The sequence below is a fragment of the Homo sapiens genome, chromosome 3 (assembly GCF_000001405.40).
Source record: "Homo sapiens chromosome 3, GRCh38.p14 Primary Assembly".
Taxonomy (NCBI): domain Eukaryota; kingdom Metazoa; phylum Chordata; class Mammalia; order Primates; family Hominidae; genus Homo; species Homo sapiens.
In genome coordinates, this window is record NC_000003.12 from 153,204,698 (window position 1) to 153,231,377 (window position 26,680).

The 26,680-nt window shown below is 41.1% G+C and overlaps 1 long non-coding RNA gene across 1 annotated transcript in view, besides 2 other annotated features; it reads left to right on the forward strand.

Annotated features, from left to right (window-relative positions):
- Positions 1-26,680, forward strand: part of LOC105374164 (uncharacterized) — a 67,936-nt gene that overhangs the window by 24,108 nt on the left and 17,148 nt on the right. Inside the window, exon 3 of the long non-coding RNA XR_924592.3 lies at positions 4,962-5,189. This is a non-coding gene — a long non-coding RNA (uncharacterized LOC105374164). The remainder of the gene's footprint in view (positions 1-4,961; positions 5,190-26,680) is intronic.
- Positions 21,388-22,013: an enhancer, noted in NCBI's record as "NANOG hESC enhancer chr3:152943874-152944499 (GRCh37/hg19 assembly coordinates)". NCBI's record gives its function as "activates a minimal SCP1, AML or CMV promoter by ChIP-STARR-seq in naive H9 embryonic stem cells {active_cell/tissue: H9 hESC(naive)}" and the evidence as "EXISTENCE:reporter gene assay evidence [ECO:0000049][PMID:30033119]".
- Positions 22,370-22,570: a silencer, noted in NCBI's record as "peak4867 fragment used in MPRA reporter construct". NCBI's record gives its function as "represses an SCP1 promoter by STARR-seq MPRAs in K562 erythroleukemia cells {active_cell/tissue: K562}" and the evidence as "EXISTENCE:reporter gene assay evidence [ECO:0000049][PMID:32103011]".

Genomic DNA, 26,680 nt, shown 5'->3' on the forward strand with positions numbered 1-26,680 from the left:
TCTGTTGCTCAGGCTGGAGTGCAGTGACACAGAGTTCACTGTAAGCTTGAACTCCTGAGCTCAAGCGATCCTCTTTCCTTAGTCTGCCGAGTAGCTGTGACTACAGGTGCATGCCACCATGCCTCAGCCTCTCAACGCACTGGGATTAAAGGCGTGAGCACCTACGCCTGGCCATGGACTTATTTATTTTTTTATTTGTCAGCTGGGAACTTTGATTCCTACTTATTTTCTGCTCTAATATTTTGGCTGTTTCAAGACTCCTAAGACATTATCTCTCAATGGTCAGAGAAAGACTAATACTATTTATTTATTTTCTATATCTTTGGTTGCCTTGATAAAACAAATAATTGAGGAAAAATAGTTTTAAACAAGAAACTTTACCTAATGAATCATCAGTGAACTTATCTAGTATTTGGCACTTCAGATCATGTTTCTCCTACCCCTATTTTAGTAGTTAGGAGAAATCTGTAGATTGTTTCTCTTTGAAATCAGAACAAGTGGATTTAAATCCTAGATCTGCTTCCATCAGCTGAGTGACTTGGCTAAGTTTCTTAAGCTCTCTAGGAATCAGTTTCTTCATTTGGAAAATAAGGAATGGGCCGGGCACAGTGGCTCATGCCTGTAATCCCAGCACTTTGGGAGGCTGAGGCGGGCAGATCACCTGAGGTGGGGAGTCCAAGACCAGCCTGACCAACATGGAGAAACCCCGTCTCTACTAAAAATACAAAATTAGCTGGGCATGGTGGCGCATCCCTATAATCCCAGAAACTTGGGAGGCTGAGGCAGGAGAATCACTTGAACCCAGGAGGCAGAGGTTGTGGTGAGCCGAGATCGCACCATTGCACTCCAGCCTGGCCAATAAGAGCAAAACTCCAACTCAAAAAAAAAAAAAAAAAAAGGAATGACATTTATTATGCGATTATTATGAGGATTAAATTATATTCAGCTTATAAATTAAAATTCTCAATGCCTGGCCAAGAGTTGATACTTAACAATGATTTCTTCTTAGATCTTCTTTAAAAAAGGTAAACTAAAATCAAATGATTTTGGATATGTGCTTAGTTTAGATTACAATTAACTTTGATTTGCCTTAATTTTGATTCATGTTTCAGTTTCTTTTGAGGTCTTATTTTAAAATTTGGTATTTGCTTAAGTGGATTTGAAATTTGAATCTAGGTAATAATTACCCATGTTGTTCTGACAGGAAAAACCTATGAATAAAAAGTGCTTTTGAAAAGGAGGTGGGGCCAGGCATGGTGGCTCATGCTTGTAATCCCAACAGTTTGGGAGGTTGAGACAGAAAGAATACTTGAGCCCAGGAATTCTGTGCAGGGAGACTGTCTCTACCAAAAAGAAAAAGAAAAAGAAAAAAAAGCCAAGCATGGTGGTACACACCTGTGGTCCTAATCTACTCAGGAGGCTGAGGTGGGAGGATCACTTGGGCCTAGTAGGTCTAGGCTGCAGTCAGCTGTGATCACGCTATTGCACTCCAGCCTGTCTTTAGACCCTGTGTAAAAACAAAACAAAAAAAAAAACAGGAGGTGGGCTTACGAGGTTAAGGAGGCCCCCAAACTGTCTAGGATTTAGCACAGCATCTGTCATCTATTGGGGCTCTTAGCTGATCAATGAATGTGTCCCATTTCTGCCTTTCACATCATGAGCATCTCTGGGTGTGCTAGTGTGCTAGTGGGCAGGTGGAAGGAAGCCTCTTAGGGTTTGGTTCACCACTGGATATTTTTTCCTTTTTCTTGACACAGGATCTCACTCTGTCACCCAGGCTGGTGTGCAGTGGGGTGATCACGGCTCACTGCAACCTTAATTTCCCGAGCTCAAGTGATCCTCCCACCTCAGCCTCCCAAGTAGCTGGGACTACAGGCATGCACCACCACGCCTGGCTAATTTTTGTATTTTTAGTTGAGATGGAGTTTTGCCATGTTGCCCAGCCTGATCTCAAACTCCTGGGCTCAACAGAGTCACTTGCCTTAGCCTCCCAAAGTGCTGGGATTACAATCAGGAGCCACAGTGCCAGGACAGATACATTTTTATTAACTTATTTATTTATTTATTTTGAGACGGAGTCTCACTCTGTCACCCAGGCTGGAGTGCAGTGGCGGAATCTCGGCTCACCACAACCTCTGCCTCCCAGGTTCAAGCAATTCTCCTGCCTCAGCCTCCCCAGTACCTGGGATTACAGGCGCCCACCACCATGCCTGGCTAATTTTTTTGTATTTTTAGTAGAGACGAAGTTTTGCCATCTTGGCCAGGCTGGTCTCAAAATCCTGACCTCAGGTGATCCACCCACCTTGGCCTCCTAAAGTGCTGGGATTACAGGCGTGAGCCACCGTGCTCAGCCATTAACTTATTTTTATCTGTTACAAAAATTATAAACATGATAGAACCATTAGTAAACACAAATGAGAATAAACAACAATTTAAAAATAATCCATAGTCATTGTTCTCAGTATTACAAACACTTTAACATAGATACATCTTTTAAACAAAAATAAGATGAGATATTTAATGTCACATTTCTGCCTGGCTGCTTTTAGGATGAATATTGGAGAGCTGGCTACATTAAATCCATAGTTTGAAAACGAGGTTTGGGTAGTTTTTTTTTTTTTTTTTTTTTTGAGACAGAGTTTCGCTCTTGTTTCCCAGGCTGGAGTGCAATGGCGCGATTTCAGCTCACCGCAACATCCACCTGCCTGGTTCAAGCGATTCTCCTGCCTCAGCCTCCTGGGTAGCTGGGATTACAGGCATGCGCCACCACGGCCGGCTAATTTTGTACTTTTAGTAGCGACAGGGTTTCTCCATGTTAGTCAGGCTGGTCTCGAAGTCCCAACCTCAGTTGATCCGCCCGCCTCAGCCTCCCAGTGTTGGGATTACAGGCGTGAGCCACTGCGCCCAGCCTGAGGTTTGGGCAGTTTTAAGGCATATGCAATTCCTAAGAGTCCTCAGTTTTTGAAGAATTGAATACCTATTTATAAATAGTAGCATTTAACAATACCTTATTTATAAGCTTTTCAAATCCATACTAGTACTATGTACTGAACTATTATTTCTGTGAATTATTAAGTTGCCTCATACTTTGAGCCTATTCATCCTGAGGACAATTCAGTTTTCAATAATTTCTAAGCCTTTATTGAAGTCTTGATTTCCCCTTCCATAGAAATAAACAGAAGGTAACTGAGAGAGACAACAAGCCTGTTGTTTATCAGCAAGCTTTTAGCACAAAATTGCTGTCTGCACAAGTGGTATCAGCAATCATTACACCTGCTTGCAAATGTGAAGACAAACAGGGCCATGATCGGTCAATCTGGTTATTGACTTCAGGCATCTCACTTCAAAGGTGATTGCAGTTTCACCAACTGTCCCAGCCATGTGTGAAAACTGTGCTTTAAGGAACTCTGCCACCAATGATAGGTTAAATGAGAAGATTGCTTTGAAAGTTTATGAAGATTCCCCAGGCAATGAGAATATGAGCTGTGATTCTAGCCCCTTCAACTGGCATTTGCAACCATTCTTTTAAATTCTAGTGTCAAATTTTAAGTATCTCATTGTAGTTTTTCTAACAGTAGCAAATTACAGAAAAGAAGATCTTACTTTTGACTTTTAAACAGCGATTAAGCATTTGCCTCTAAAATTCTAAATTTGCTTCCTTCATGGTAAGGTCAGCTTGGTTGAATTAGCTAAAAACGTGTACTTCTTCATATACTGACTTCCAGAACAGTTCAAGTGATCTTTCGCATTATGTTCCTGTAGATACATGAGATTTAGAGAAGAGGTAAAAGCTGAATTAGTCATTATTGCACTAATTTTGTAATTATAAATTTGCTTGGAGGTCCTTTAAAAGTTTTAATACAATTGATAGCTCGGCCTATTTAAAGAAACAACAGGTCTATGACTATGCACTAGGCTTAGCATTAAATTTTCACTGCTTTCTGATGTCAGTGCTTGTTATTGTCTTTGTAATTAAATCTAGTTTCCATTTGTCATCCAAACCAGGCAATCAGCAACTTTACATTTATCTTCCATTACCTTCAAAGGAGTATTTTGTGAATCCTCCATTTACTCATCTATTTTCAAATGCCCCGGCCTCTACCTGCCCATATCTCATGAGGCTGTGCACAAAAATAAATAAGGCCAGAAAGAATTGAGGTTTATAATTATACAGCTTATTGACCCTTAGAGTGGTGTTTTTAAAATTACTATTTTTAGTGATTTTTTTTTTTAAACAATTAAAGATTCAGAAAAAGGCAGAATTGTGGACTTGCTTTTCATGTCATCTCCACGAAGACGTTAAGAAGAGCTGCTCTGCACCCATCCTGTTTGTAAAAACAGCCTTCCCAGAGGAACCCCACACCATTATTGTTCTCCCCGTTCCTGCTGGTAATTGATTCAGGAAGCTTTCTTGAAGAATGGGGGTTTCTACTTCATTATCACTACTGCTGAATATTTTACACATGGATGGTAAAAAATTTTAATGCAAGAAAATTAATAGCAATACAACTATAATGAATATAATTTAGGCCTTCAGGGTACAGAATTTGCAGTGCTGCAAACATTCATTTTGAACATCAGTGATAATTACATTGTAGCTATAAAAATACAGAAAATGGACTGAAATGACCTTCCTTCTGTAATACTCTGCAAGTTGTTCGATAAAAGGAATTCTGTCACTTGTTCAGTTGTCTGTTTCGTATGTAGGGGAAGTTGGAGGTAAGGGTGTGTGGAATGGGAGACAATGAGAGGAAGGCAGATGGGAGTGTGGGATGTAGTTCTTTATTTTGTAATTGTATTACAGTATATAAGAAAGAGTGATGTTAGTAAGCTTCAGCAAGGACCCACCATAAATGTAGGTAGAGGCAGGTACAGAGAGCAGGACACCGAAACAAGTTATATGGTCTCAGTAATGGGACAATGCCACTTTGTTCTCTTCTTCTTCTTCTTTTTTCTTTTAGGGAATGCAAGTCAAACAATAAGTGGAAGACTCTTGAGCTTAGTCACCCAGGTTATGACATGAAGGTCAGTTTGGTCTCTCTCTTCATTTCCTCCCGCCCCACGGGGAGTCATCTGCTTGAGGAAGGAAAGACACATTGCCGGGCTACAGCGCAGGGCCCATTGTCATGCTGAGCCACCCTTGCTTCCCTGCAGGCCTCCTGAGTCGCAGCCTAGGAATGTAGCAAGAGGTGAGCCAGTGTGGCCGGGTTTTCCTCTCCCACACGCCAAATATGTCCACAGCTTCGGGTACCACTTTCCTCTGAGCAAATTCTTCCCCACTCTCTTTCAAAATGTTAATTAGAGTTTATCCACTATGTTCCCAGCATTACCACTTTTTGAGCAGGTAAATCAGATAATTCTTCTCATGAGCTTCAGCTTCCTGCTGAGTTGTGTACTCTCTCGCGGAATGACTGAGGAAAGGTGCTGTGCACAGTTGGTCCAGTTAATGTGTGGCTGCTCCACTCCTCCAGCTGAGACCATTTGTTTGAAGGATATTCCCATCAGTTACAATGGAATCTTGAAACATTTTCACTCCAGTATGCTGCAATCTTGCAATCTCCTTGAGCACTAGAGAGATTTTTTTTTCTTAAGGCTTTTTTTTTTTTTTTTTTTTTTTTTAGATTTCACCAGTAGGAGGAAGCCTCCCTCGAAATGAGCGAGGCTCAGCAGGTCTGGCACAGCTAACCTTGATCGTTCCTAGCTGGTATCTTATTGCTGCTTCTTGCCCAGCCTCCTTTCTGTTTTTTAACCTGGCCTCCTCTTTTATGTTCACTTATTTCATTATTTGAAAGAAAACAGCAGGACCTGGAAACTCTAGTCCAGTCATGCTCCTGGACTTCTGTCTTGCCCTGCGGTCTCTTTTGATCTAAATTTGTTTCTCACTGTTACAAATATGGTCGCTGAGAAGCCTGCAGAATCTGAAATAAACTAAGGGTTTGTATGAGGAAGCATATATTAATATAAGTGTGGAAAGCAAGGTTTATCTTCTATATATTCGTACCTGATCTCATGTTGGCTATAATGGCAGATACTGCATCCTTGCTTCCCAAGCAGAGGTTTTATGGCCACAAGGAAGTATGAGTTCCTACATTTAATTACAACATATGGTGAGTTACAACATGCTCTGCTGCTGGTTTTACCACTTGAGAAGTAATTGGGGGATTGTCCATTCTTAGATATTTAATTGCCTCAGGGCTGCAGAAGAGGTGTTGCCACAAGCTGGTTTCACAATGAAAGGCCACCTCAGGGATGCAATAGATTAGGCTGGCCTGCTTTTCTTGGGCAAAGACAACATGAACTCCAGGCTGCCTTTGTAATAAACTGCTCTTTCATCTTTATTTTTTGCTTTCTTGGCTGGCTTTTAGAAGAAAAAGTCAAATTTTAAAAGAAATGGTACTTAAATTGGAAATTGGCTGCTCACGATTCAGTTAGGGAGGGCACATGTGGCATTCTATCAATGACCCATCATGTACATATTTTTATTTGAATTCCTGTAAGTGGCTGCCCTTTTCCTAAATCTCCTTAATTTATTCAATAAAAGTGTTATCCCCTTGGGAGGCCGAGGTGGGTGGATCATGAGGTCAGGAGATCGAGACCATCCTGGCTAACACAGTGAAACCCCGTCTCTACTAAAAATACAAAAAAAAAAAAAATTATCCAGGCATGGTGGCTGGCACCTGTAGTCCCAGCTACTCGGGAGGCTGAGGCAGGAGAATGGCATGAACCTGGGAGGCGGAGCTTGCAGTGAGCCGAGATCGCGCCACTGCACACCAGCCTGGGCGACAGAGTGAGACTCCGTCTCAAAAAAAAAAGTGTTATTCCCTAGATATGCCAGACACTAAGGGTTTTAAATTTTATCTTTTTTTATATTACGTATTTCATGTTGGATATTTAAAATAATATTATTAGTTTGTGTTAATATACTATGTTCCATTTGAGCCATGTTGACTTTTTAAAAGAATTTCAAGATACAACTTATATCTACATTTGGACCATAATGTGAATTCATGATTTTCAACTCACTTGAAATACTAAGTTTTTAATTGAGTTGATTTGTTTTGTAGACTAACTTTATGTGTAATTGAAATGTTTCTTTTATAGATACTTCAGTACATTTTGTTGCCATGGATTCATTTCTCACATCTAATTCCTAACCCTGGAAAAATAATTTTTAAAAATTAGCAGAGAATATTTCTTTTTAGATGAGTCTTAAGACCTTTCCAGTTCCAGATTGCTTTCTGTTGAAATGAGAAGTTGTGTTTTAGAAGGACACGATTTATCTCCATGATGTCAGCCTCAAAAATCAATCAGCCTAAATAAGGAACTAGAGCTTCATGGAGAAAGGCTAATTTCACGGTTGTGGCAGGGAAGGTACATGATAAGCCTGGGATTTTTGTGTCAGAAAATAAGGAGGTGCTCAAATGATGGTGAGTATGCATCAACATGACACAGAAGCCAGCTTGAATGAATTCCAACTGGTATCCCCGTTCAAATCTGGGATAATTTTAGCAAGAGCGAGAGAGAGAAATTAATTAATTATAAATGAATGAAATAAGAATTAATGGGTCCAAACTCATAATAGCTAAATAAGGAAGAAGAAAAAGCTGTTTCTCACAGCAAAATCCTGGCTGATAGAGAAGACAAATGGATAAAATGGAGTTAGAAAATTACCATTTTATAACCATCAGAGTAAAACTGATTCTGGCTAGAATGATTAATAGATGCCAGATCTAGCAGAGGGAATTTTGATGAGGAGCAAGTTATTTACCCAGTCTCAAAATGCCTCTCCACAAGTTACTTAATAATGATGAGGGAAAATAGTGTAGAAGCAGAATAACATCCTACTTAACCAAGTAGATCAACACTGATATCATCAACAAGAGGCAAAGGAATATCAAGTGCCTCCCAATGTGATAACACAAGCAAAACAAAACATCACTCATGTGGTAATCCAACCAAAAATGGATTAGCTCTGTCTAATCATAAGGAAGCAGCAGAGAAACCCAAATCTTAATAGATATATTCTATGAAATAACTGGCCTGTATTAATCATAAATGCCAATGGCATGAAAGACAAAAGAATGTTGAGAAAGTGCTTTAAATTAAATGAGTCTAAAGAGACAGGACAACTTAATGCAATATGTAATCCTAGACAGTATCCTGAACTGGACAAAGATTCTTTAAATAATATTTTGGAAACAATTAAGGAAATTAAAATGAACTTTAAAGTATTCTATCAATGTTAAATGTCCTGAGTTTTTAAAATATTTGGTAATTATTACACATTTAATAATTATACTGTGGTTAAGGACAAAATTTTGTTCTTATGAAATGTAAGCTGAAATATTAAGGGATAAAGAGGCATTATGTGTGCACCTACTCTTATATTGTTCAAAAAATATATATTTAAAAATGTGTAATATATTTAAATAGATATACATAGATGAAACAAAGCAAATGCTAAAACTTGGAAAATCTGGGTAAAGACTTTTTCTATTTAAGTGTTCTTTTTACTGTTCTTGCAATGTTTCTGTAAGTTTGAAATGACTTCAAACACAAAAATAAAAATAGAAGGAGACAATCAGCCAAATTACTTTTGTGAATACTTAATACAGCCTCATTACTCTGAAAAACAAAAAGGTACTAAGAGACATAGAACTATTCATTAGAACTTTAAAATCTATAGGCTATCCAAAAAAGACAAAAAAGTAGAAAGAAACACCTTTAAAATCTAGTGGAGAAGACTATATTAGCATATAAAATAATTAAATGAATTAATCTTTTTAAAAAAACTTTTTAAGACAGAATCTTGCTCTGTTGCCCAGGCTGGGGTGCAGTAGTGTGATCTCGGCTCACTGCATCCTCTACCTCCCAGGGTGAAGTGATTCTCCTGCCTCAGCCTCCCCAGTAGCTGGGATTACAGGTGCCATGCCACTGTACCTGCCCCTGGCTAATTAAATGAATGAATCTTAAGAAATAAATGAGCTATTTATTATTGTTTATTCATACAAGTTATGGAATAAACCTTTACAAGTTAGGAATGTATTTATTTGTCCTAACTTTCTAGCTTTCTTTCTGAAGTCATGTAGACTCAGTTTATTATCTGGACTTTTTTTCCCCCCAGTTTGACTATGTAATAGAAAAGCATTGTCCTAGGATTCAGGATATGTAGTTCCTAGCCCATCTCTGTCATTTAAGAGCTGTTTGACTATGTCAAGTCACTTGACTTTTGTGGACTCAGTTTCTTCACCTGTGAAATAAGGAAGATGAACTCAAAAATCTTTGAGCTCTTTCAGCTTTAAAGGCCTATGATGCCACATGGGATGAAAATCATAAGAGCTAATGAAAATAGCTGGATATGTTAAATCTCCTTTGGTGATTTGCAGTTAGGATGCATAAGCAATTGATCAAACTTCTATGGAGGCTAGACACTTTGATGGTAAAATCACTTTATATTCCAGTGCTGCTTTTATTTTCTCAAGCATTCCCATGCCTTTAATATGATTTGACACTTCTAGCAAAGTTGCTGTGATATGAGTAGGGCATATATCATCAACTCCATTTTTCAAAAAACAAAACTGAGGCACTGAGAGGTTACTTACCTTTATACCTTTTTTTTTTGAGACAGAGTCTTGCTCTGTCGCCCAGGCTGGAGTGCAGTGGCATGATCTCGGCTCACTGCAACCTCCGCCTCCAGGTTCAAGCAATTCTTCTGTCTCAGCCTCCCGAGTAGCTGGGACTACAGGCATGCACCACCATGCCTGGCTAATTTTTGTGTTTTTAGTAGGGATGGAGTTTAACTGTATTGTTCAGGCTGGTCTCGAACTACCAACCTCAGGTGATCTACCCCCTTCGGCCTCCCAAAGTGCTGGGATTACAGGCAGAGCCACCATGCACGGCCACCTTTATATGTTTAAACAAATTAATATTTCTTTCTTGATCTATAAACTCAGAAATCTGGATTCATAGTCCTATAAAACAAGAAAGAATGCCCCACATACTCCCTCTGTCTCTGTGCTATCTGCATTTCCCAACTTTTTACATTGTCAATATTTCTATCAGTTGGGTTCTGTTCTCAATGACTGATTATTCTGTACTTTGCCAATAGGTTGATTGATATTTTTTAAGTAAAAGGATTTTGCACTATTATAATAATGTGAATATTATTACCTAAGGCACAAAGTAGCATGATTGGACCCATAAAGAAGGAGATATATAACTGTGTGTTAATAAACCTGTACTAATTGAAGAAGAATATTTCAAGTGTCAAGGTCAAATAGATTCTCTTCTTCAATTTATTTAAATATTACACAACATTATAGATTGTTTTATATTTATACCATGATTTCTTTACACATCTTTTCAAGAATTTGAATTTCTAATTCACTTTTTTTGTGAGCAGAATTATAATATGCCTTCAGCTTTCATCTTGTCAAAGATCATCCAGTTCTTAATAACAATATTTCCTACTTGAATATTTCTACTTGAAACTTACTCTTCAGAGCCCTCTGATTTCCTATTACTATTTGGACTGTTGATTTCCTAGGCTTGCTAGACAGCTCTCATCCAAAAATTATTTTTCATAGATTTCTAGGTAAAGTTTACTTTTTTCTCGGCTGCCATAATCTTCTTTGTCTTGGGTTACTTTTTATTTTTGCTCTGGTACGTCCCCAGATAATTGTTTTTTTCAGAAAGTATGCATGGGAGTTAAAAAATAAATTAGAAAAGTCCATAATTCTAGTTTCAAGAGAATTTTCCCTCAGAACTATTAAAGCATTTTCTATGATCCTCTAGCAACCAATTTTGCTGGGAAGGGACTGGCACCAGTCAGATTCTGATCTCTTTATAGATAATTGGTTTCTTTTCTCAGAAAGTTTTTAGGCTTTATATTTTGACATGGGGAAGTTTCAGAAAAGGTGTCTAGATGTGCATTTTTAAAAATTTGTGTATCATTTGCTGATCTCCTTATGCTAAATTGCTTAGTCAACAGAAACAGAGAGGCAGCAGTTACATGCCAAGTACACATAACAAGGATCTTAGCCCTTTATAGGAAGGTTGTTTGACTTCTTTAGAGATCACTTTTTTGGTTTTAGTTTAAATAAGGCTACACATCACCCTTGTATGTAGATGAGGGAGTACAGAATGGGTTGAAGGTGGGCTTGTACAGCTTTACTGTAAGCGTTAAACCCATACCCTTGATTTCTGTCTCACTTTCCCCTGGCATTCTTGCCAGTTTCAAGCTTTGAACTTGCAGCTTTCTTCTGTTTAATTTCTTGGCTGTAGATTCTCTGGCTTCAATTTATAACAACAAAATCTAACTTTTATTAAGCAGCATTCCAGGAACTGTCCTAAGTATTTATATTGTGATTTACTTGGCCAATCCTCACAACAACGCTATGAGGTAGCTACAGTCGACTCTGAGTATATGCAGGGAATTGGTTCCAGGAACCCCACATCTGCCAAAATCTGTGCATACTCAAGTTTGGCAAATTGGTCCCTTGGGAAATGGCGTATGCAAAAGTTAGCCTTTATTATAGGCCAGTTTCGCATTCCACAAATACTGTATTTTTGATCTGCCCTGGGTTGAAAAACAATCCACATGGAAGTGGACTCATGCAGTTCAAATCCATGTTGTTTAAGGGTCAACTGTCCCATAATTATCCACGTTTTATAATGAGGAAACAGGATTGCTCAAAGTCATACAGGTTATGACTGGCAGAGCTGATATTTGCATCCAGGCAGTCTGCGATCCCATCCTGCACCTCTCTTGGAGAAATATATAGAAATCTGTAATTCCTTGATCCTGGGATTTATTATGAACTTATTCTCTTTTATATGCATATATTTTAAACCAGCATTTCAGTGGAATGTGAGGTTGAGGGGCCAAGAAGGAAAGGCATGGTGTTCTGTCTGCAACAGTTAATTGAAATCTACCCATAATTTCTGAGTGCCAAATTCACCAAGGGTAAATCCAGGTATAGGCAGTTGCTTATGCTGTGAGTTTACGCAGCATAATGACAGACAATGAGCAGTCAGAGACTTACTTTTAGAGGTCTAAGACTGCTGTGGCCATTCTTTTCCTTCACTTTACCTCCTACTGCTGCAGCTAGAACAACCTCTCCCTGAGAGAACCTAAAGATACAGGTTCCATCTAAAAACACCCCCTCCACCCCGTTTCCTTCCATGCTCATTTCTCTGATTAGACAGGTCTAGGTAGGGCTGGTAGGTGGAAGGAGGCAGACAACCAAAGGAAAACAGCACTAAGGCTAAAGGAAGGAGAGAGAAAAGAATGAAATTTGTTTGGGAAGCTAGACTTGACCCCTGTTTCCTGCTAATTACCAGAAGTCTATAATGAGTCATGCGTTGTTATAGGTGTTCTGTGTGTATCATTCAATTTACTTTTCATAATGACCCTGTAGCAAAGGTATAGCAAAGGTATTACACCCATTTTATAGATGAGGACATTAAGGCTTGGAGATGTTAAGGAATTTACCCAAGGTTACAAAGGAAGTATGTTCATCCGACTTTAAAACCCATGCCAATTTCTCTGCCATGATGCCTTTTGACTCCTTATGGCAGCATTTGGAATGGAGCAGGTGTTAGTGCAAGCTCACCCTCCCTCCCTTTCTCTCAGTACACTCCTACACTCATAGACACACAAACACAAATACACACACAAACACACACACACATGAATTAACTAATTGAACTGATATTTCTTGAGCTGTTTATGTGCTAGGTATTTGGTAGAGTCTACACTGTCTTCTGTGAGTCAAATCATGCCTCTAAAGCACACAGTAATCAAACTTTCTTTTTTTTTTTTTTTTGAGACGGAATCTCGCTCTGTCGCCCAGGCTGCAGTGCAGTGGCGCGATCTCGGCTCACTGCAAGCCCTGCCTCCCGGGTTCACGCCATTCTCCTGCCTCAGCCTCCAGAGTAGCTGGGACTACAGGCGCCCACCACCACGCCCGGCTAATTTTTGTATTTTTAGTAGAGACGGGGTTTCACCGTGTTAGCCAGGATGGTCTCGATCTCCTGACCTCGTGATCCACCCTCTGCAGCTTCCCAAAGTGCTGGGATTACAGGCGTGAGCCACCGCACCCGGCAGTAATGAAACTTTCTAGAGGCGGGGATAGGGGAAAAGGGTGTGGAATCTATGTTCAAATAGTTGGCTTCTTAAAGATCAGGACTGGAGGGGCTGCACAAGTCCATTGCAGAAGAGCAACTCTTTCTAATTTGCCACTGGGCCTGGAATTCTGACTCTGAAGCTCAATTCTCTTGAGGTAAGATATTTTGCCATATTAAGAAGCAAAATACTTTCTTAGGAGTCCTCATCACCTTATTGTGAATTAAATTTATGAAATTTCTTCAAATGTTAGTGTAATAGATCACAAAATGGTCAAATTACTTATAACCCTGTTCACAAAATGGTCACAAATTACTTATATCCCTTTGCAGTGGGATTTTTGCCAGGCCTCGCATCAAAAGGTTGAGTTTATTTCTCTATCCTTTAATCCTGGGTTTGGCTGGGTAACTTGCTTTGGCCAATGGAACATTGAAAAATATGGTGCAGGCTGGGCATGATGATCCATACCTGTAGTGCCAGCTACTCAGGAGGCTGAGGCAGGAAGATCACTTGAGCCCAGGAGTTTGAAGCCAGCCTGGGCAACAGGCTGGGCAGATATGGTCTCTGAGAAAAAAATGTGCAGAGGCTTGAGGGGGGCTTGCATATAGGGTTTACCTTTTCCTGCTGCTGAGAATGTTTCTGCCACCATGTGAACTACACTCTTTGAGGATGAGAGAACATGTGAAGAAAGGCCTTAAACATACCAGTTGTCCTAGCTGTAGCCCCAGATGTGAGAGGGAGGCCATTTTAGATCACGCAACTTCAAATGAGCTGGCCTCATCCAGAAACACTATCACCACCAAATTGTGAGGAAGTATAATTGGCTGTTTTAAGTCCCAAAGATTTGTAGTATTTTGTTGTGAGGCAAAAGCTACCTGATGTATGTACCTAGTTGAAGTAGGCTGGGGAAGGGGGAGCAAAACAGGAAGGAAAGGAATTGAGTAGAAAGCACCTTGATTATCATTTGTGCAATGTAAGGTTCCTGAATGTTTGGGTAGAGACAGGGCAGCCCCTAAGGAGAGAGAAGTGCAGAAAAGAATGAAGGGAGTCCACTAAACACAAAGTTCACTCTTCCTCATGACTGACCTTTTTATAACTCCAAGAAGAAACATCTAGAATGTGAGCACTTTATCCCATTGTCAGGGTTTTGCTGTAATTTGAACAATTCAAAAGTGATTTGACACTCTTGTTTACTTTTTACTTAGTGGTTCAGCAGAGATAAATAACTTCCCAGTAGATTCATTTGAATTTCATCTTGACCCAGAACTCTGGAGTGCAAATATAACCATTATCTGAAACTGTGAAACATCAGAAGTGGAAGCCATCTCAATCTGTTTTATGTCCAACTCCCGCCACCTTGTTTTAACATGGTACCGTGTTAAAGAACATCAGACATTCTAATTCAGTATCACATCTTTATTTGAGTAATATGCTTTCTCCCTCCTCTGCCCTCAAGTATAATGCTTTCTCTGTCTTTTGCAATATAAATGATTCACTTTGTTATGTGGTTATTCAAATGGATGTCTGCTGTCTTCAGAGGCTTTAAACTTTCTCTGGGAAGAGATCTTGTTTTATTATTCATTCTTTCATTAATTTATTCATGCAGGAAATGTTTATTGTACAATGGTGGTTCAGGCCTGCTTTCAAGGATCTTATTATCTAAGTACAAGAAAAGAAAACATAAACCAGTTTTTAAAGAGCATGTTAATGTTGAGTATTTACAAAATGTATGAGCACAAAGAAGAAAGAATTGGCTTGACACATGCACCTATATTCTAACTCATGTTTCCTCTTCTACACTTGACTCCCTAACATTAAGTGTGCACTCACTCAACAGCCAGAGTGATTAGATATATCTAATTAGATATAACAGCCAGATAGATTAGATTATATCAATCCTCCACTTTAAATTTTCAATTTAAATTTCTTTCTTTTTTTGAGATAGAGTCTCGCTCTTGTCACCCAGGCTGGAGTGCAGTGGCACGATCTCAGCTCACTGCAACCTCCACCTCCTGGGTTCAAGCGATTCTCCTGCCTCAGCCTCCCAAGTAGCTGGGACTACAGGTGCGTGCCAACACACCCAGCTAATTTTTTTGTATTTTTAGCAGAGATGGGTTTTCACCATGTTGACCAGGATGGTCTCAATCTCTTGACCTTGTGATCTGCCTTCCTTGGCCTCCCAAAGTGCTGGGATTACAGGCGTGAACCACCACGCTCGGCCTCAATTTAAATTTCTTACTGGTCTTACAAAGCCAATGGGATGTGGCCCCTGACTGTAATTCAGTCATGCTGGCTCCTTTCAGTTCTTTGGGAACTCTAGCTTGATCTCTAGGCTTAGCACCTCTGAACCAGTGGTTCCTGATGCCAAAATGCTATTCCTCCTATTTCTGCATGATTAGCTCCTTCTTGTCATTCAGAACTCAACTTAGGTGGCTGGATTCCTGATACCTGATGTAAGTAACCAGTCAGTTAACGGATGTCATTTGACTCTGTGTAACACTAGCCATGATTTGTTAGTGTCTTTGTTTTCCTATATCCCTCTCTTTCCCCTCCCTCCCTCTCTTCCTTCCTTCCCTTTCTTCCATTTCTTTCTTCCTTCTTTCCATACCTCCTTCATTTTTCTTTCCTCTTCCTTAACTTTATGCCTCTCTCTCTGCACTAGAATGCATGCCCCATCAGAACAGTGACCTTGTTGTCTCCTGCTCCCATGCCTATTCCATAATAGGTATTCAATAAGTACTCCTGGAGTACATGAACAGATGGATAGAAGAATTCTAAATGCCGGAGGATGTGCAGGTACATACTAGGTGGAATGCAGGGGGGAATGGCTTTTTAGACAGCGAAAGAGCACCATATTCAAACACGTGAGACAAGGAACAAGAACATTAGAAGTATATTGGGTTGGCTGGAATACAAGGTTTGGGTTAAGTTTGGGAAGAGCAGGAAAATAAAAGGAGGTGAGAATTGAAAGATAGTTTTGCTGTCTTTCTACGCACGCACACACACACACACATCCTCCCAAGAAATTTTTCAGTCTCAGAGCTAGTTTGTTGATTGACACACAGATATTCAGATTTCTGCTACTTTTTTTTTTTTTTTTGACATTGCTACCTTGCAGGAAGACAATGAGATGGACTTGTCAAAAGCTACTGACATTTGGTCTGTTGTAAACAACTCGTTGAAGAGTTTTGACTTTTGATTTTTAGTAGGGATTTTTTTTTTACATTTTTTTGAATCGTTGGAAATAGATTACTGAACCTGGCCAAATGCAGGAAATATATAAATCATCATTTTATATCATTTACTCATTTGAGTCTTACAATAAATCACTGCAAGCAGCAGATTTATTTATTACTCACACACACATATAAATGTATTTTATATATTTGGGCTTTGTTTACTATTTATGAGGTTTAAAACAATTTTGGGAGATCAGATGAGGCTTTCATTCACTTTGATAGCTTCCTCATCTGTAAAATGGGAGAAATAATAATGTATAGATCTCAAAGGGTAGTTGTAACCCTTAAATGACTTAAATTGCAAAAGTGTTTAGATCAGTCCTTGGGGTAATTGTTAGCCTTTATTATTATCATAATTGTTTGCTGCTCACATGAAGAGAAACATGAGTTGAAGGAATTTTACTCTAGGTCCCAAATTCTACTGTAAATGCAATTGCATTTTGCTGGTGAAATACTTTCTGCCATTTTGCCATTGTGGAAACATTGCTTGACAATGACTGATGTCATTTCTTGCATGCTTTTTAAACTTGGTATAAATGAAGTCTAATCGATTGAATTATATCAAGCCCATTGTTTTCATTTTTAAAAACAATACGAAGGCCAGAACAAGCCAGGGAGATACTGAGTAAATATGAAAAGAGAAATCTCTACAGAAAAAGTATTCTTGTAGAAAAAAGAGAAAAGTATTTTCCTTGCAGCAGGGCCCTGACGTGAATCCATTTCAAGAGCTGATCGCAGTTGCTCTGTCTCTGACTCCTGGCTCCAGCCGTTCTCACCAAGACTCTAGGCTAGTTGTGGCCTGTGGTTCTGCAACTCAGCTCTTCGAAGGGCAGGAAGGAAGGGTGGACCTGCTTGAGATTTCCTGTCTTGCTGTGAGTCACTGATACAGAGCACTTCTTTTGCACTTCGCTGTCTACTATCCAGAGAGCAGGAATGCAGCAGCTGAAGTCAAACCGGAACCATCCCTCTGCGTCATGATAACTGCTCTCACCACCTATTCGTGCATGGTCTGCACATCCTCAGGGGTTGCTCTTCCGCCTATGGAGCAAGACACTGAAAGAAAGGCTCTATTATCTCCTGTAAGGAGAAGATAATAAAACTTATGACAAATAATATCTTTATGTAACATTTAGGTCTGGTGGAAAAGGAAACTTATTTTATAGATGGGAGACAACTCTTCAATGCTGACTAGACTAGGGAAGATTGTAAGCCTGTCTCATACGTAATTCCCTTTCTTTCCCTGCCTGCCTTTATTGTAAACAAATTGAAGTTGAGGTCAGGTGCAGTGGCTCATGCCTGTAGTCCCAGCACTTTGGGAAGCTGAGGCGGGAGGATTGCCTGAGGTCAGGAGTTCCGGACCAACCAGGGCCAACATGGTGAAACCTGGTTTCTACTAAAAATACAAAATTAGCTGGGCGTGGTGGTTCACACCTGTAATCCCTGCTATTCAGGAGGCTGAGGCAGGAGAATCCCTTGAACCTGGGAGGCGGAGATTGCAGTGAGCAGAGATTGCACCACTGCACTCCAGCCTGGGTGACAATAGTGAAACTCCATCTCAAAAAAAAAAAAAATTGAAGTCGAATATGGGGTTTTGAGATTCCTATAGGTAAATGCCTTGTAAATAAAATTTTAATCTTAGCCAGGTGTGGTGGTGCATGCCTGTAGTACCTGCTATTTGGGAGGCTGAGGCAGGAGGATCACTTGAGCCCGGGAGTTTGAGGCTTCAGTAAGCTATGATCATGCCACTGCATTCCAGCCTGTGTGACAGAGCAGGACCTTTTCTCTAAAATAAATAAATAGGCCGGGTGCAGTGGGTCACACCTATAAGCTCAGTACTTTGGGAGGCTGAGGTGGGCGTATCACTTGAGGTCAGGTGTTCCAGGCCAGCCTGGTCAACATGGTGAAACCCCCTCTCTACTAAAAATAGCTGAATGTGGTGGCAGGCACCTGTAATCCCAGTTACTCGGGAGGCTGAGGTAGGAGAATTGCTTGAGCCTGGGAGGTGGAGGTTGCAGTAAGCTGAGATCACATCACTGCACTCCAGCCTGGGTGACAGAGCAAGACTCTGTCTGAAAAAAAAATTTTTTTTAAATAAATAAATATATACATAAATAAAAATTAAAAAAATTAATTCTTGCTTGTGGAGTATAATGTGAAAGGGATTAATCTTTGTAGAGGAATTCTGTCAAGACAGCTGTGCTACCTAACTTCTAAGCCTGTTGGAAGGATAAGTAATAATAGTGATTGAGCATATGTTTTACACTAGATATTATATAATCTATATATATTATTGGTGATCATCACAACCTCCACAAGCTTTCCATTCTACCAGCTGCCTTTTTTTTTTTTTTTTTTTTTGAGACAGAGTCTTGTTCTATAGCCCAGGCTGGAGTGCAATGGAGAGATCTCAGCTCACCACAACCTCTGCCTCCTGGGTTCAAATGATTCTTGTGCCTCAGCCTCCCTAGTAGCTGAGATTATAGGCATGCACCACTACGCTGGGCTAATTTTTGTATTTTTTAGAAGAGATGGAGTTTCGCCATGTTGGCCAGGCTGATCTTCAACTCATGACCTCAGGTGATCTGACTGCCTCGGCTTGCCAAAGTGCTGGGATTACAGGTGTGAGCCACCAAGCCCAGCCCCAGCTGCCTTGAAATGGGATAATATAAGTGGCAGTGCTTTGGAAATCTTAGTCATTAAATAAAAGTAAGTATATAAGTAACCTAATAGTAAATATTTCAAAAATAATATGTTATTTAGTTTGCAAGGAGCATGAGTAACAAAACTAAGTTCAAATATGATTTTTGCCCCTTTATATCTATAGGACTACTGCTCAGTTACTTCTCTGCTCAGTTTCTTCCCATGTGAAATGGGCATAATAACAACTACCTCCTGGGATATTATTGAAAACTTCTGAACTCCATGTTTGACAGGTAGAAGATACACCACCAATATGAGCTCCCTTCTTTTTTAGATTTTTCCTAGAGATAATAGAACCTAATCTAGAAACATAAATTAGGTGTTTTATCATTTTTCATTAAAAAATTTTTTTTTTGGAGACAGTCTCTCACTCTGTCACCCAAGCTGGAGTGCAGTAGTGTGATTTCGGCTCAATGCAACCTCCACTTCCGGGGCTCAAGCAACCCTCCCGCCTCAGCCTCCTGAGTAGCTGAGACTACAGGTGCCCACCACCATGCCTGGCTAATTTTGGTATATTTAGTAGGGATGGGGTTTCACTATGTTAGCTGGGCTGGTCTCAAACTCCTGACCTCAGGTGATCCATCAGCCTCGGCCTCCCAAAGTGTTGGGATTACAGGCATGAGCCACTGCACCCGGCCAGGTGTTTGATCATTTTTCAGAGTGCCTGCCGAAATATTGAGAAGAAGGGAGGACAGGTTGAAGAATTAGAAGTAACGGAACACTACAGATGAAGCAATCTGCTGCCCAAGAGGAAAATTGTCTGATTGTTTCTATAAAGTGCATTTGAGAGTAACTGGGTTCGAGACTTGAAAATCATGCTATAGAGTTGTAATAGAAGAGAAATTATTAAAAATTCATGTTATTTAACACTCTTGGACCATGACAATATAAAAATGATTCTAGGGCTTTGGTAGGGAAGTTGCGATGAATTCAGTTGTGATATTAATGAATTTAAATTGCTAGTCATTAAGTGGCTACCTCAGAAAACCAGAAACACGAACTCTCATAGTGTGTATTTATTAGAGAAGAGACAGTAAGTTGTAAAATAGTCACTGCCATGACCATTTATAGACATTATAAATTAAATTTTTAAAAATATTTTTATTTTGTTCACATAATTAGATTTTTAAAAATTTTATTCATGAAAGTTGGGTCAGCTCTTAAAACAGTAATTATTTTATTAAGCAACCGGCTCTTCTCAGTTGTTCCCTAACTTTACACCTCAGAATAGAAAAAATAGTAGTAACTTTTTAATATCAGTACAGGTTACCTTCAATATGTTTTGCAACATTCTCTACTTTTCATGAGAAATTTTATGAATTTGGAGTTTGTTAGCACACTTAAAAGACCACTTGGGCTGAAAAAAAAAGCCTTGAGAACTGGCCGGGCGCAGTGGCTCTCGCCTGTAATTCCAGCACTTTGGGAGCCTGAGGCAGGTGGATCACGAGTTCAGGAGATCGAGACCATTCTGGCTAACACGGTGAAACCCTGTCTCTACTAAAAATACTATATATATATATTAGCCGGGCATGGTGGTGGGCGCCTGTAGTTCCAGCTACTAGGGAGGCTGAGGCAGGAGAATGGCGTGAACCCGGGAGGCGGAGCTTGCAGTGAGCCGAGATCGCGCTACTGCACTCTGGCCTGGGCGACAGAGCAAGACTCTGTCTCAAAAAAAAAAAAAAAAAAAAGTCTTGAGAACTATCTCAGCAAACACTTTGACAGCATCCTGGTTCCTGAAGCATTGCAGTTTTCTGTTCAGGCAAACTTTTTATAGACTTGAGCACCACATTGTTGTGTTAGGCCTAGAGACTTAGTAAATCATTAGTATTCTTTTCCACAGTTTTGGGAACATAAAATCCTGGGTTTCTAATTACGTTTGCACAACTAAAAATAAAGTATACTTTGCAAAACAAAAAATAACAAGAGAAAACAAACCCCAAACCACACAGAGCAGGATAAACATTCTTAAATAATAATAAACTTTTTACTACAAGTTCTTCATTTTCTTTCAGAGCATCTCCTAGTAACATGTTTATTCTATCTGTACCTACATCCTCTACTGTTGGGATGGCTCTAGTTATGCGTGGTGTCTTAGTCCATTTCATGTTTCTATAAAGAATACCTGAGACTGGGTAATTTATAAAGAAAAGAGGTTTATTTAACTCACAATTCTGCAGGCTGTGAAGTTCAAAGATTGAGTGACTGCATCAGGTGGCTCCTGGTGAGGGCCTCCTACTGTGTCAAAATGAGGTGGAAGTGGAATCAAGTGCATGAAATAACTGTCAAAACATGAGAGGTAACCTGTCTTTATAACAACTGGCTCTATTGGGAATTACCCCACTCCAACAAGAACTAACCCGGTTTCGTGAGAAAAATATTAATCCAGTTCATGCACGTCCGTGTGAAGAGACCACCAAACAGGCTTTGTGTGAGCAATAAAGCTTTTAATCACCTGGGTGCAGGCGGGCTGAGTCCGAAAAGAGAGTCAGCGAAGGGAGATATGGGTGGGGCCGTTTTATAAGATTTGGGTAGGTGAAGGAAAATTATAGTCAAAAGGGAGTTGTTCTCTGGCGGGCAGGTGTGGGGGTCACAAGGTGCTCAGTAGGGGAGCTTTTGAGCCAGGATGAGCCAGGAGAAGGAATTTCACAAGATAATGTCATCAGTTAAGGCACGAACAGGCCATTTTCACTTCTTTTGTGGTGGAATGTCATCAGTTAAGGCAGGAACTGGCCATCTGGATGTGTACTACGTGCAGGTCACAGGGGATATGATGGCTTAGCTTGGGCTCAGAGGCCTGACATTCCTGTCTTCTTATATTATACGAAAAATAAAATGAAATAGTGGTAAAATGTTGGGATGGCGAAAATTTTTGGGGATGGTATGGAGAGATAATGGGCGATGTTTCTCAGGGCTGCTTCAAGCGGGATTAGGGGTGGCGTGGGAACCTAGAGTGGGAGAGATTAAGCTGAAGGAAGATTTTGTGGTAAGGGGTGATATTGGGGGGTTGTTAGAAGAAACATTTGTCATTTAGAATTATTGGTGATGGCCTGGATACAGTTTTGTATGAATTGAAAAACTAAATGGGATAAGAGAAGGAGAAAAACAGGTATTAAAGATCTAAGAATTGGGAGGACCCAGGACATCTAATTAGACTGCCTAAGGAGATTCAGCATAGTCCTGCCAGCGAAGATTATTTGTTTACTTTAAGAGTAAAGAGTGGCAGTTTGGGGATAGCAACAGGAGATATCAGCTGTGATGGCTTGGAGAAACAGTGTAAGCCGGCAGTGTAAACAAGAGCAGGGTATGTATGAGTAGTTGAGAACGGTGAATAGGAGTATGACTAGACAGAAGATAGTAGGGATAACAAGTTTTTTGGGGCACAGTCCAAGTTGGTCTGGTGTCTGGAATGAGACTGGGGCCTAATAAAAAGGAGCGTCCTTACAGGAGCTCAAATGGGCTATACCCTGTAGCATTCCGAGGGCAGGTCTGACTTCTGAGAAGGGAAAGTGGTAAAAGTATTGCCCAGTCCTTTTTAAGTTGGTGGCTGAGCTTGGTGAGGTGTGTTTTTAAAAGACCATTAGTCTGTTCTACCTTTCCTGAAGACTGAGGACTGTAAGGGATATAAAGGTTTTACTGAATACTAAGAGTCTGAAAAAAATGCTTGGCTGATGTGACTAATAAAGGCCAGTCTGGTATCAGACTGTATAGAAGTGGGAAGCCTAAACCGAGGAATTATGTCTGACAGAAGGGAAGCAATGACTGCGGTGGCCTTCTCAGACCCTGTAGGAAAGGCCTGTACCCATCCAGTGAAAGTGTCTACCTAGACTAAGAGGTATTTTAGTTTTCTGACTCGGGGCATGTGAGTAAACTCAATTTGCCAGTCCTGGGCAGGGGCAAATCCCTGAGCTTGATGTGTAGGAAAGGGAGGAGGCCTGAACAATCCCTGAGGGGTAGTAGAATAGCAGATGGAAAACTGAGAAGTGATTTCCTTGAGGACAGATTTCCACAATGGAAAGGAAATGAGAGGTTCTAGGAGATGGGCTAGTGGCTTGTAACCTACATGGAAGAGGTTATGAAATGACGACAGAATTGAATGGGCCTGTGAGGCTGGAAGGAGATTTTCCTTGGTCTAAGAACTATTTGCCTTGTGTGGGAAGAGATTGATAGGTGGAAGTTTCAGCCGGGGAATAGGTGGGAGTGACTGATGTGAAGGAGAAAAACTGGCCATGAGGGACAGAAGTTGGAAAGCTAGCTGCTTGTCTAGCCACCTTATCAGCATAAGCGTTGCCTAGAGCAATGGGATCTGATGCCTTTTGATGGCCTTTGCAGTGAATTGACTCCAGCTTCTTTTGGAAGTAAAGTGGCCTTGAGCAGTGTTTTTATTAAAGAGGCATTAATGATGGAGGACCTTTGCGTAGTGAGGAAACCTCTTTCAGCCCATATAACAGCATGGTGGTGCAGAATATGAAAGGCATATTTAGAATCAGTATAAATATTGATGCGTAGTCCTTTTGCAGGAGTGAGGGCTTAAGTTAAGGCAACTAATTTGGCTTGCTGAGAGGTAGTGGAGGGGGACAGAGCAGTAGCCTCAGTGATAGATGTGGAAGATACTATATATAGCATAGCCTGCCTTTGCTGGTGAGTAGCGATTAGGCCTGGTGGAACTGCCATCAATAAACCAAATGTGATCAGGGTGAGGAACAGGAAATAAGGAAATATGGGGAAATGCGGTGAATGTCAGGTGGATCAGAGAGATACAGTCATGAGGGTCAGGTGTGGTATCCAGAATAATATGGGAGGCCGGATTGAAGTCCGGGCCAGGAACAATGGTAATTGTGGGAGACTCAACAAAGAGTGAGTATAGCTGAAGGAGCTGGGAAGCAGAAAGTATATGCATCAGGTGTGAGGAAGAAAATAGATTTTGGAAGTTAAGAGAACTGTAGAGAGTGAGTTGACCATAGTTTGTGATTTTTAGGGCCTCTAAAAGTATTAAAGCAATGGCAGTCACTGCACGCAGACATGAGGGCTAGGCTAAAACAGTAAGGTCAAGTTGTTTGGACAGAAAGGCTACAGGGTGCGGTCCCGGCTCTTGTGTAAGAATTCTGATCGCACTAACCATGCCTAGGAAGGAAAGGAGTTGTTGTTTTGTAGAAGGGATTGAGGTTTGGGAGATTAGTCAAACACGAACAGCAGGGAGAGCACGTGTGTTTTTATGAGAATTATGCCGAGATAGGTAACAGATGAGGATGAAATTTGGGCTTGACTGAAGTAATGGGGGCTATCTGTGAAGGCTTGTGGCAGTACAGCCCAGGTAATTTGCTGAGCCTGATGGGTGTCAGGGTCAGTCCAAGTGAAAGCGAAGAGAGGCTGGGATGAAGGGTGCAAAGGAATAGTAAAGAAAGCATGTTTGAGATCCAGAACAGAATAATGGGTTGTGGAGGGAGGTATTGAGGATAGGAGAGTATATGGGTTTGGCACCATGGGGTGGATAGGCAAAACAATTTGGTTGATAAGGTACAGATCCTGAACTAACTTGTAAGGCTTGTCTGGTTTTAGGACAGGTAAAATGGGGGAATTGTAAGGAGAGTTTATAGGCTTTAAAAGGCCATGCTGTAGCAGGCGAGTGATAACAGGCTTTAATCTTTTTAAAGCGTGCTGCAGGATTGGATATTGGCGTTGAGTGGGGTAAGGGTGATTAGGTTTTAATGAGATGGTAAGGGGTGCATGATCGGTCGCCAAGGAGGGAGTAGAGGTATCTTATACTTGTGGGTTAAGGTGGGGGGATACAAGAGGAGGACGCAAAGGAGGCTTTGGATTGGGAAGAAGGGCGGCAATGAGATGTGGCTGTAGTCCAGGAATAGTCAGGGAAGCAGATAATTTAGTTAAAGTGTCTCGGCCTAATAAGGGAACTGGGCAGGTGGGGATAACTAAAAAGGAGTGCTTAAAAGAGTATTGTCTAAGTTGGCACCAGAGTTGGGGAGTTTTAAGAGGTTTAGAAGCCTGGCCGTCAATACGCACATCAGTTATGGAGGCAAGGGAAACAGGCCCTTGAAAAGAAGGTAATGTGGAGTGGGCAGCCTCCGTATTGATTAAGAAGGGGACGGACTTACCCTCCACTGTGAGAGTTACTTGAAGCTCTGCGTCCGTGATGGTCTAGGGGGCTTCCGAGGAAATCAGGCAGTGTCAGTCTTCAGCTGCTAAGCCGAGAAGATCTGGGAAGGAGTCAGTCAGAGAACCTTGGGCCAGAGTTACAGGGGCTCTGGGAGTGGCTGCCAGGTGAGTTGAACAGTCTGATTTTCAGTGGGGTCCCACACACATGGGACGTGGTTTAGGAGGAATCCTGGGCTGCTGGCATTCCTTGGCCTGGTGGCCAGATTTCTGGCACTTGTAGCAAGCTCCTGGGGGAGGCGGGCCTGGAGGAACGCCTGGCCACTGCGGTTTAGGCGTTTGGAAGTTCTTGTGTGCTGGAGATGTGGCTGGGGTTTGTCTCACAGTGGAAGCAAGGAATTGCAACTCAGAAATACGTTACTACTTGTCTGCCTCTACTCTATTATTGTACATCTTGAAGGTGAGGTTAAGTCCTGTTGTGGGGTTTGAGGGCCGGAATTTAATTTTTGGAGTTTTATTTAATGTCAGGAGCGGATTGGGTAATAAAATGTATATTGAGAATAAGACGGCCTTTTGACCTTTTAGGGTCTAGGGCTGTAAAGCATCTCAGAGTTGCTGCCAAACGAGCCATGAACTGGGCTGTGTTTTTACATTTGATGAAAAAGAGCCTAAACGCTATCTGATTTGGGAGAGGTCAGATAAAGAAAAAGGAGCATTAACCTTGACTATCCTTTAGCTCTAGCCACCTTTTTAAGAGGAAATTGCTGGGCAGGTGGGGGAGGGCTAGTTACGGAACGAAACTGTAAACCGGACTGGGTGTGAGGAGGGGAGGTGACAAAAGGATTATAGGGTGGAGGAGAAGAGGCTGAGGAAGAATTGGGACCTAGCTCGGCCTGGCGAGGAGCAGCCTGGGGAGGAGGGGAAAGGTCAGATGGGTCTGTAGAAAAGGAAGACTGGAAAGACTCAGCGACGCTTGGGGTTGGGACTGAGGGGACAGGCAGGAGGGAAAGAAGGAGGATTTGGGAGGAATCGGGAACAGAGACTAGGGAGGGAATGAAGTGTGAAAAACGCCTGGACGTAAGGCACCTCAGACCATTTGCCCATTTTTCAACAAAAATTATTTAGGTCTTGTAGGATGGAGAAATCGAAATGCCGTTTTCTGGCCATTTAGAGCCATTGTCAAGTTTGTATTGGGGCCAAGCGGTGTTGCAGAAGAAGATAAGGCATTTAGGTTTTAGGTCAGGTGTGAGTTGAAGAGGTTCTAAGTTCTTGAGAACACAGAATAAGGGAGAAGAAGGAGGAATGGAGGGTGGAAGGTTGCCTATAGTGAAGGAGGCAAGCCCAGAGAAAAGAGAGAGTAGAGATATGGAGGGAAGGGGTTTGGGGGTTCTTACCCTCCAGAAAAGTGGGAAAGGGGTCGGGGCACAGAAATAAGGGGTTGGGGCACAGAGATAAGAGGTTGGGGCATGGAAATAAGGGATCAGGGCACAGAGATAAGAGGTCAGGG